General features: G+C 37.9%; 1 protein-coding gene across 12 annotated transcripts in view; it reads right to left on the bottom strand.

Annotated features, from left to right (window-relative positions):
• Positions 1 to 12,706, bottom strand: part of TFDP2 (transcription factor Dp-2) — a 205,117-nt gene that overhangs the window by 157,731 nt on the left and 34,680 nt on the right. The window lies entirely within an intron of this gene.

Below are 12,706 nucleotides of genomic sequence, written 5' to 3' on the forward strand. Positions count from 1 at the left end.
TACAAGATAAACCTAGAACATCTTATTGTGCCTAAAGTAAGGAAGGGCTCAAAAAATGATGGAGACATGTCAAAAGTACACAGAAATCAGCTTAAAGAGCCTACAGCTGGACAATTTTCAACAACTGAACACCAAAGTACATACTGATAGTAACAGATTATAAACCCATTGAATAGAGCCTACAGCTGGACAATTTTCAACAACTGAACACCAAAGTACATAATGATAGTAACAGATTATAAACCCATTGAATAAAATAATAATCCAGGATTACTGGGGCTAAAGGGGGAGATGAGAAATTCTTTGCAGTAGAACGCCAACTAATAAATATAAATGAGTGATACAGTTAGTAAAACTTCCATTTTGGAACCATCATAACTAATAAGAAAAGAATAATTAATACACAGTAAAACTAGTCAGTGAAAATATGGTGAAAAATAGGATATTTCCATAGCGTTGAAATATCTCCCTACAAAATACCTACTAATTCAAATTTTCTAGTGAAAGAAATATGGCATAAATCACTTTAGCCAAGTGATCAAAGTTACCAAATGATTACCAATAATGGGGCAAGCCAACATGTGTCTCTTCAAGCGCACTGAGATGGATACAGCATGAATTCTGAGGTACGTTTGCCCAATATGCAAAATCTAAATTTAATCATGAGGAAATATCAGAGAAATCCAAATTGAGAGGCATTCTACAAAATAATGGCCTGAATTCTTCAAAAAATGTTAGTGTCATGAATGGCAAAGAAAGGCTGAGAAACTTTCCAGATTTAAAAAGACTAAAAACTGCTGGGCGCAGCGGCTCACGCCTGTAATCCCAGCACTTTGGGAGGCTGAGGCGAGTGGATCACCTGAGGTCAGGAGTTCGAGACCAGCCTGGCCAACATGGTGAAACCCCTTCTCTACTAAAAATACAAAAAAATTAGCTGGGTGTGGTGGTGCGTGTCTGTAGTCCTGGCTACTTGGGAGGTTGAGGCAGGAGAATTGCTTGAACTCAGGAGGTGGAGGTTGTAGTGAGCCGAGAACGCGCCATTGCACTCCAGCCTGGGAAACAGAAAGAGACTCCTTCTCAAAAAAAATTAAATAAATAAAAAATTTAAAAAAAGACTAAAAACATATGAAAACTGAATTCAACCTGTGATCTTGGTCAGGACACTGAACTAGAAAAAAAAAACTGCTGTGAAGACCATTATTTGGGTAATTGGAGATTAGATCTACAGACTGGATAATAGTATTGTTTCAATGTTACATTTCCTGACTTTGATCAATGAACTTGGAGTTTTCTTTTCCTCACATCTTTTTGGATTCCAAAAACTATGGAGTTTTCTATAATTGAGTGTCCTCTTTCTTATAAAAAATACACTAAAATATTTAGGAGTGGAGGGGTATAATGGTGGCAACTTACTCTCAAATGATGACAAAATATGGTCTCACTATACAGAGAAAGAATAATAAAGAATATGTGACAAAATGGTTACAACTGGTGAATCTGGGTGAAGGGCATCTGGGAGTTCTTTGACCTATTTTTGTAACTTTTCTCTTATTTTAAAATTATCTCAAAATTAAACTTTAATAAGACATTCAAGGGGAAGGATAAAGTAAAACTTAACTTCGCAAAGATCATAAATAATGGGTGTTCAAAGAAATGGGGGCTTCAAATGGCTGCCTTATATGTTAGAATTTGAATCTACAAGTAAAATTTTGTAGAAGAAAAGCAAGGTTTTTTTTTTCTGTTTTTTTCATGTGCAGAACATGCAGTTTTGTTACATAGGTATACATAGGTATACGTGTGCCATGGTGATTTGCTGCACCTATCAACCCGTCACCTAGGTTTTAAGCTCCACATGCATTAGCTATTTGTCCTGATGCTCCCCCCTCCTTTCTTTTGCTTTTCAATAAAACACTGAATTTGTAATTTTTCAATGATAAAGCATAAATTTAAAAATCGAAGTAAAACCTGAACCACAATTACAAGTTTTGCTTACAGTAGTTGTACAATGTCTATTATGACCTAATCTAAAAATAAAGTTCCTATGCTATATCTGTTCTACATTTATCAATTATTTCTTACGTCCTCTCTAGTGATATAAATTTAAATGTAAGATAAATAATAAAGCACAAATTCCTGATATCCCATTCAACAGACTACCTGGCATATTCAAACTAATAATTTAAAGTTAAAATGTTAAGTATTGCATTTTGAAGATTAATATTTCAACCAAGCTTGATCTAACAGATCTATACAGAATTCTGTATCTAATAGATCTGAAACATCTCTTTAGGCACAAATTTATAAAATTTGTCCATATATGCTATCACCAAGGGGAAGCAAAAATTTCAGAGAGGAAATATTACACAGATTATGGTCTCTGACTACAATGCAATTAAATTAGGAATCAACTATTTTTTAGAAAGTTAAAAGTCATATATTTAGCTATATTATTAAACACTCCATGAATGTGAAATATTTAGAACTAGAATAACAATTAAAAAATAAAATATTCAGAAAGAAATGACAATGAAAATTTAAAAAAACTTATAAAATCCAGCAGAACTAGTACTTAGGGTATATTTATATTTCTTTTTATTCATTAAGCCATCAATCAATTTAAATACGTAAAAGAACAGTGAGAACTCAAAGAAATATGAAAAGAAACAAAGAGCATAAATTAATGAAATAGAAAAAAAATCAACAAATTAACAGCCTGGTTGTAAGTGTCCTGCTTGAAGTCAGCATCTAATAAATAAAGCAGCAGTGCAGTAGAGTGGAAAGAGTATGGACTTTGGCTCCGTCTCAGCTCTGATACTTAGTTGTGTGATCCTGAACAAGTAACCTAACCTCTTAGAGCCTCCATGTCTTCATCTGAAAAACTGATACACTGAATGTTTCAGAGTTATGTTAAGAGTTTATACGCCCTCCAGTTTATACATATTCTGAACACTCCTAACAACAAAAAAGTTCAATTTTAACAAATTTAAGACTATCTCATGACCTGCTGAAATACAGTTATAACAAAAAAACTACTAAGTCTTTTCCATCAAATGGTTTGAACATGTTACATTTTAGAAACACTCTATATTTCCAAAGCAAATACTATTGCCTACCCAATATCATTTTCCTCTTCTTCCTTACAAGCTGAAGTGGCAATGTGCCCCCAACTACAAATACTACATCGTCAACCTTCCTCTCAGATGGGCTAACCATATCACAGATAACATAATTCTGGCCAATGAAATATAAGCAGACATTGTTGGTGTGGGCTACCAGATTCAACTAGTAGGTGTCCTTTTTCCCCACCCTTTGTGTTTTTTTGTGCCCAGAGCATAGTTGTGATGGCTAGAGCTGCTTGTCTCCGGGCATCTGCTCCATTTCTGAATTCAGTACTCAATGATGTTATATTTCCTAAGGGCTGGGCTAATGAGGGTCACTGTGTTATTCACGTAAATAAAATGAAATTAACAGAGTATTACTATTTCAGCACAATATAGTAAGAGGGTACCAATAAAAATAGCCATATTAATGAGCTTCACAGAACAAAGTACAATTTTGTTTGGTATTCCTTTGACTCTCCACACCAGAGTACAGCACAAACTGGAATCTCTAAGTATTACCTAAATAATAAATGTTTGAAATAAAGCCAAAGCGCATGGATTTCTTAAGCAAATTTACCTTAACATCTCTGTGTCTCAATTTCTTCATCTCTAAAATAGTAAGAGTCAGCCACTTAATTAAATGAGTCAATACATGTAAAATTACTAAGACACTGCCTAGCACAAGTTAAGCATTCAATGTTAGAGGGGGGAAAAAAATCTGTTCATTGATTTCTCATGACAAATTAAGGCTTCCTTCTCTAAAATAAATAATACATAATTCCCACATGGTAGAAGTGAAAAATACCATAACATAAACCCAATTTCAAAATAGAAAAAAAACCTGTTTAATTGTGGTTAAAAAAAAAAACTCTTCTAAAATTAACAAGAGTAGGCAATAACTTCATTCATTCATTACTCATCCAGCAAATACTGAACAGTCACTATGTGCATGGCACTATCTCAGGCAATGAAGACAGCCTAGTAGATGAGAAAGACTGTAATCACCAAACGTTCAAATGTAATTTTAAAGAAATAAAGTTACATTAAGATAGACATTGTAAAAACAAATGGGATTGTGATAGAGACTTTCTTCATTCAATTAAAAATTAAGTATGCTGTATTGGCTTTGAGTGATACTTTATAGCATTTTAATTTAAAAATACACATTTCTAAATAGTTTTAAAGTTTTTGTCTTTTTTGACATTGTCTTTAATCTATAAATTATTTGCATTGTATGACTTAAACTTTCCAAAGTGTCTAGAAATTAAATAAATTTGGCACAGAAAGGTTCAAGAAGTTGCCATCTTTGGCAGTATGGATGATTCTCAGAGATAAACCAGTCATGTGCACTGATGCATTATGTTTTATCCAGACTCAACAATTGCACACTTCTTCCTGTCACCAAGCTCTTCTGTTAGTTAAAAAAATAAGTTGGATTTCTTCTTCCAGCTTCATGAACACATTATGTCAAGCTCAAAAAGTCAATCTTTTGACCTCGCCATCTGCCATGATCTCGTCAGTTTCAGACAATGCAACTCCCACAGATGGTCTCAAAATGCAAGCCCTTTCCCATTCCAATCACAATTTAGCAGCTCCAGCCACAAAGCCTTTTAAAATTAATCAAAATACAAGGAAGAAAGCACAAAGTTATGGATAAATTTGTAGAATCAAGCAGTAACATAATTTGAATCAGGATGTGTAGACTTTCTAACACTGCCAAAAAAGCTGCTACTAAAAATTAATAGGAAAGGTAGCATATTTAAATGGCAGATGTTACTAATTTTAAATACATGCTCATGACTCATAATTTAGAAAATACACAAAACAAAAAGCAAGAAACAAATATCAGCCATAATCCTACTTGTCAGAAGCAACTACAATAACTTATTGGCATAAATCCTTTCAGTATTCTCTCTGTGCATTCAAACTTTTGAGATGTGGTATTAATTAGAAGATATTTTCTTTTTTTTCTTTTCTTTTTTTTTTTTTCGAGACGGAGTCTTGCTCTGTCACCCAGGCTGGAGTGCAGTTGCTCAATCTCAGCTCACTGCAACCTCTACCTCCTGGATTCAAGCAATCCTCCTGCCTCAGCCTCCCAAGTAGCTGGAATTACAGGCGCGTGCCACCACGTCTGGCTAATTTTTTTGTATTTTTAGTAGAGACGGGGTTTTACCATGTTGGCCACGCTGGTCTTGAACTCCTGACCTCATGATCCACCCACCTCAGCCTCCCAAAGTGCTGGGATTACAGGTGTGAGCCACCGCACCCGGCCCTAGAAGATATTTTCATAGAAAGGGATAATATGTAACTTTTTCTTACGTGAGCAGCATATCTAGGCATTCTCTCAAGTGCTTCACATGTATATCATATCATTCGCACCTCAACTTTATCAGATAAATAGTATTATTTTCATTTTACAGAAGACAAAACAGTTTTAGAGAGTTCAAGCAATTTTCCCAGTTAACCAACTGTACAAATTACAGTGCCAGAATATGAACTCAGGATCTCACACCAGCAAAAGTGTTCTTAACTACTATAATACTTTACAAAATATATCTGACTTGAGATATAATAAATATATTCTCAAGATATTATAACAAAATGATATATAATTATTATTACAATAAATTCAGAGAAAATGATAACCTACTATGCTGAAAGAATCCTTTAAAATCTCATATAGGACATATACATATGCCATAGAATTTTTCTCCTTTTCAATTCCGTTTTTTGAAATTTCAATATTAAATTGAATTTTTATTTTTTGAGTAGGTTGCGTGAAAGTTGATTACATGCCAGTCAGAGCTTGCCAGCTCCCCAAAACCTTACTAGTGCCAATGAGCTTTCTTGAAGAGTGATATGTAACATTTCTCCTTTTTATAAAACCTCTAACCTCTTTGTTCTTCAGACAGCCAAGACCACATGGTCTGTGTGTATTTCCCAAATTGCCTTTCTCTTTTTTTTTTTTGAGACAGAGTCTGGCTCTGTCACCCAGGCTGGACTGCAGTGGCGTGATCTTGGCTCACTACAACCTCTCCCTCCCAGGTTCAAGCGATTCTTCTGCCTCAGCCTCCCAAGTAGCTAGGATTACAGGAGCCTGCCACCACGCATGGCTAATTTTCTTATTTTTAGTAGAGACGGGGTTTCACCATGTTGGCCAGGCTGGTTTCAAACTCCTGACCTCAAGTGACCCGCCCACCTCGGCCTCCCAAAGTGCTAGGATTACAGGCATGAGCCACCATGCCTGGCCTGCAATTTTCTTCTCAAATAAAATATTTTAATCTCAGAGATTTGTCTCTATATTTCAACTTGACAGTTGTAAATTTCCTCATTCACTTTTTTCACAGCTACACAGTATTCCTTTACATCGTTATACTGTGATTTATTTGACTAGCCTCTACTGACAGATATTTAGATTTCATAATCTAAACTGGTGACAGTAATGACATTTTAATGACTCAAATCTTTAATGTTGTCTAGGATGCTGATGTGGTATATGCCTACCTCTCCAGCTCTATTAAACTCCTTTCCCACACCTCTTTTCTGATCCAGTTCCATTGGCTTCTGTAAGTTCAAAACCGTGCTCCTCCTGCCTCAAGGGCCTCTGTACATGCTGTTCCTTCTGTCTGGAACCTTTACCTGACAAACTCATCTTCCTTTAGATCCTTTCTCAAGTGTCACTTCCTCCGGGAAAAACATCCGTTTTCTACTACCCAGTCTAGGTAAGGGGTATCAACCTATTGCTCTCCTACTTTCTCCTTTAATAGTACACACTGGGTTGCCATTGTCTATTTATTTCTGTGATAATCAGATTGTGGTCTGTCTCTGCCAACTAAAGTATAAATTCCTTGAGCACAGGAACCCTGTGCATTTTGTTCACCCTTACATATCAAATGCCTGGCATATGGTTGAAGCTCAAGAAATATTTGTTAAATGAATTATAGACTCAGTATTTTATTTATTTCCATCCTTTAAAAATGTACGAGAATCCCATTCAGTATGACTTGGCAGCAGAAAATGAAAGGCCATGCAGACATTTAACACATCACACATCTGAAATGTCAGTAAGCTACATTTTTTTTTTTTTTTGAGATGGAGTCTCGCTGTCACCCAGGCTAGAGGGCAACGGTGCGATCTCGGCTCAGTGAAACCTCTGGCCCCTGGGTTCAAGCGATCCTCCTGCCTCAGCCTCCCAAGTAGCTGGGGTTAAAGGCATGCGCCAGCACCCCTGGCTAATTTTGTATTTTTAGTAGAGATGGTGTTTCACCATGTTGGTCAGGCTGGTCTCAAACTAGCAAACTCAGGTGATCCGCCCGCCTCGGCCTCCCAAAGTGCTGGGATTACAGGCATGAGCCACTGCACCTGGCCAGCTACATAGTGTTTTGAATGTCATTTTTCTTTCATGAACAAAAAGCATCCTGGGACCAGCATTTTATTTGTATTCGTTAATTTTTAAAAAGTTATAATAGAGCACAATTAGTTACATTAATTTTTAGCAGAAAAAAATAGTACGCAAGAATTTTTCTAAAAAAAACACTTTTATTTACTAAAAGCTGTTCTTCCTAGAACCATTGGCATTTTACACGTTAAACAGAAAAAGAGACTTATTTTTATGTTCACTGCTCCCTTTATTTTAGAGGCAGGGTCTCACTCTGTCACCCAGGCTGGAGTGCAGTGGCATGATCTCAACTTACTGTAACCTCCGCCTCCCGAGTTCAAGTGATCCTCCCACCTCAGCCTACTCAGTCGTTGGGACTACAGGTGCGGGCGCATGCCACCACACCCAGCTAATTTTTGTATTTTTTGTAGAGATGGAGTTTCGCCACATTGCCCAGGCTGGTCTTGAAATCCTAAACTCAAGAGATCCACCCATCTAAGTCTCCCAAAGTGCTGGGATTACAAGCATGAGCCACCACGCCCAGTCCATTGCTCACTTTTAAAAATTGAAGAAAAAAAAAATGCAGCCAGGCACGGTGGCTCACGTCTGTAATCCCAGCACTTTGGTAGGCCAAGGCAGGCAGATCACCTGAGGTCAGGAGTTTGAGACCAGCCTGGTCAACACGATGAAACCCTGTCTCTACTAAAAATACAAAAATTAGCCGGGCGTGGCGGCAAGCGCCTATAATCCCAGCTACTTGGGAGGCTGAGGCGGGAGAATCACTTGAACCTGGAAGGTGGTGGTTGCAGTGAGCCGAGATCATGCCACTGTACTCCAGCCTGGGCGACAGAACGAGACTCTGTCTCAAAAAAAAAACAAAAAAAAGCTCAGAATTATATAATAATGAATAATGGCATAATGAGATACATGAATAATGTTATCTAAGCACTACTCATTCATTTACTTATTGGATAAATACTTATTGATAGCCAGCTACCCGTCAAACACTAAGTATTAAAAATACTGAGCATTGGCTGGGTACAGGGGCTCACACCTGTAATCCCAGCACTTTGGGAGGCCCTGGTAGGCAGACTGCTTGAGCCTAGGAGTTTCACTCTAGCGTGGGCAAAATAGTATGATCCTATCTCTCAAAAAATACAAAAAAATTCACCAGGCATGGTGGCACACACCTGTGGTCCCAGCTAATCTGGAGGCTGAGGCAGGAGGATCCCTTGAGCCCAGGAGGTAGAGGCTGCAGTGAGCCATGATCATGCCACTGCACTCCAGCCTGAGCAACAGAGTGAAACTCTGCCTTGGAAAAAAAAAAAAGATACTGAGCATTAAATGCTCATCCTTAAAGATACTATGGAAAACAATGACAGTCCCTGCCTTCATGGAGCCTATATTTCAGCTATGAAGGCATGCATTAAATGACAAATTTCACAATTAACTACTTAATGACAGTCACTACAAGTGCTATGATGGAGACATAAAAGATTCATAGAAACAGGCTGGGTGCGGTGGCTCACGCCTGTAATCCCAGCACTTTGGGAGGCCGAGGCAGGTGGATTACCTGAGGTCAGGAGTTCGAGACCAGCCTGGCCAACATGGTGAAACCCCGTCTCTACTAAAAATACAAAAATTAGCCGGGTGTGGTGGCACATGCCTGTAATCCCAACTACTCAGAGGCTGAGGCAGGAGAATTGCTTGAGCCCAGCAGGCGGAGGTTGCAGTTAGCTGAGATCGTGCCACTGCACTCCGGCCTGGCCGACAGAGTTAGACTCTGTCTCAAAAAAAAAAAAAAAAAAAAAGATTCATATAAACATGTAAAATAGAGGACTTGAACTCTGGTGGTTTTACAGAAGACTTCTCTGAAGAAGTCAAGTTTGAGCTGAGCTCACCAAAAAAAGAAAAAAAAACACACAAACTGAGTAAACCACTGGCAAAGAGAGAGGGATATATTCTACTCAAAGAAAACAGCACCGGAAAGATCAAAGGAAGAAAAGCATGTGGGAGGTTCCAGGGTCTAAGGAAGGTCCTAATAATACGTGCCGAAAAACAAAGGGCAAGGCAACGGGCTGCTAAGAGATGAGGTAGGAAGCCAGACCATGCAGGATACTGATTTTTCAAAATTTTTATCAGATTTGGCCGGGTGTGGTGGCTCACGCCTGTAATCCCAGCACTTTGGGGGGCTGAGGCAGGAAGATCACTTGCGCTCAGAAGTTTGAGACCAGCTTGGACAACATAGCGAAACCCCATCTCTACTAAAAATACAAAAATTAGCTGGATGTGGTGGAGCGTGCCTGTAATCCCAGTTACTTGGGAGGCTGAGACAGGAGAATCACTTGAACCCAGGAGGCAGAGGCTGTAGTGAGCTGAGATGGTGCCATTGCACTCCAGCCTGGGCGACAGAGCAAGACTCTGTCTAAAAAAAAAAAAATTAAATCAGATGAGTGGGAAGCCTCAGAATGATTTTAAGTAGAGAGCTACAGCATCTGAACCAAAGACAGAACCAAATTCACCAAAGATTAAGTAAAAATTATTTGCATTCTAATTCTTTAAAAACCAGTAATATTAGCCATATCTTGTAATTCTTCAGTAACTGAAATGCTCACTCATTTCTTGACTATACCAAATAAGTTTCTATTCACTATCTATTTATCTAGCAGTCAAACCACCTTAAACCTCTGTAACAAGATTCTCAGCTCAGAAATAAGAAAAACAAAAAAAATTCCCCAGAGCTCAACGCAGCTTTCACAAAACCATGTACTAGTTAGTAACTCAAGTCCTTAGGCCTTCCCTCATCTTATACGTTTTATTTAGCATAAACTTCTTAGTATATGTGCTTTGATTTTCAGGCTAGGAGCCAATTATACTTAGCAGAAAGACGTGGTAATAGGGAGCAAATGGGCTAACACTGTTACAGGTGAACACATTGACAAAGTGATTGACAACAAGCAGCTTAATACTAAAAGAAAATTGGATACAGAGTGCTATCTCACCAAATAAATTCACTGAGGTAGAATTCTTCTGTCACTCCCTGGCAAATTGATTTTTTTTTAAATTGAGACAGAGGTCTTGCTATATTGCCCAAGCTGGTCTCAAATTTCTGGCCTTAAGACATCCTCTTGTCTCAGCCTCCTGAGTAGCTGGGACTACAGGCACGTGCCACCACACCCAGCCAAAACTGGATTGACATGTTCTACAATAACACCTAAAGGCTACTTTCATTTCAAATATATTATGCAATATTAACAGATTATCAATATGTATTATTTGTTCTTAATTACTGAAAACAAAAGACTGAGGGCAAAAACTTACTTCTGTCCCTACCCAAAGAAGCAATATTAGATGAGAGCACACAAACTAAGAATAAAATCACATTCTGAGACCCTGCCAAGAACCTAATAGAAACATTCTTTTATCAAGCAGTACAAGTCAAATTTTAAACCATTAATTCACTCATGCACAATGACTACATGGATCAGATCACCTGTTACACATATGCTGCTTAGCAAAGTCTCATTTCCAGTTTAACAAAGCTTTAGATTAGCATCACAAATGTTAAGACTTATCTTTACTTGAACCATCAAAACAAGCTAGATGACATTTATTTTTTATTTATTTATTTATTTATTTTGAGATGGAATCTCGCTCTGTCACCAGAATGGAGTGCAGTGGCATGATCTTGGCTCACTGCAACCTCCGCCTCCCGGGTTCAAGCGATTCTCCTGCCTCAGCCTCCCGAGTAGCTGGGACTACAGGCATGTGCCACCACACCCGGCTAATTTTTTTTGTATTTTTAGTAGAGACGGGGTTCCACCATGTTGGCCACAACGGTCTCGATCTTTTGACCTCATGATCCGCCCCGCCTCAGCCTCCCAAAGTGGTGGGATTACAGGAGTGAGCCACTGTGCCCGGCCGACTTTTTGAAATATTATTTGGTATTAATATATGTTTATAGACAAACTGTTGTATAATGAACTATATGCAAGCATGAAATGTTCAATCTGAGTCATTAAAATGTGATTACTGTGACCAACAAAAGATTCCAAGATGACAAAAATGGGGCATTCAAAAGGAAGCAATTGGAGAAGAAAATAGCACCATTTCTAATGCTTATTTAGAATACGACTGTACTTATACAAATACCTAATCTATATTCAAATGAAAATGAAACAACTGTATAATCAGCGTCATCATGGTATTTAATAAGCAATTCCTCAAAATAACTCTACAGAATAGGGCCGGGCGGGGTGGCTCACGCCTGTAATCCCAGCACTTTCGGAGGCCGAGGCGGGCGGATCACGAGGTCAGGAGATCAAGATCATCCTGTCTAACACGGTGAATCCCCGCCTCTACTAAAAATACAAAAAAATTAGCCAGGCGTGATGGCGGGCGCCTGTAGTCTCAGCTACTCAGGAGGCTGAGGCAGGAGAATGGCGTGAACCCGGGAGGTGGAGCTTGCAGCGAGCCGAAATCGCGCCACTGCACTCCAGCCCGGGCGACAAAGCGAGAATCCGTCTCAAAAAAAAAAAAAGGTATAGTTATCTCCATTTTATAGAAGGGAAAATTGAGTCAGCTTAAGTAACTTGCCCAAGGTCACAGAGAAGCAAAATGTATAATGAAGTTTAAATAAATGTTACTATATACATGTTCCATCATATCATAAAAAGACATGTCCTAAGCAGTTTTCATTTTAAAGTAATTTAAGGTTTTAAAAAATATAGGATATTTGTGTTATCTGTATGTATAAATGTTTAAGAATATAAAGTATTAAATAGTTTTAGATGACTAAAAAAAGCCTTATAGAAAAATAAACAATTGCCTTGTTTGCATACGCTCCTCATCCACTTTATTTTTTTCATGTACCATATATTGAAAATCCCTAACAATCACAACCCCCTATCAGACTCCACAGGATATGATGGAGATCGTGAAATTTTATACTAACTAAAGGTTAACTGCAAAAGCTGTCATCATTTTTCTCAATTTTCAAGCAGGATACAGGTTTTTTTTTTCTTTTTTTCCTACCTTCTTAAAAACACCTTTGGAAAGGGAAAGGAAAGTTGAATGATGTATGTGCTCACTACAAAATAATCCAAAGCTATAGAAGAGCACAAAGAAGAAAATAAAAATTACTCTAAATCTTACTATTGAAAGATAAGAACCTAATGATATTTGTACAGACACTTTCAGGTACATGTATATGCATAGATGTATATTT

The sequence above is a fragment of the Homo sapiens genome, chromosome 3, assembly GCF_000001405.40.
Source record: "Homo sapiens chromosome 3, GRCh38.p14 Primary Assembly".
Lineage (NCBI taxonomy): Eukaryota > Metazoa > Chordata > Mammalia > Primates > Hominidae > Homo > Homo sapiens.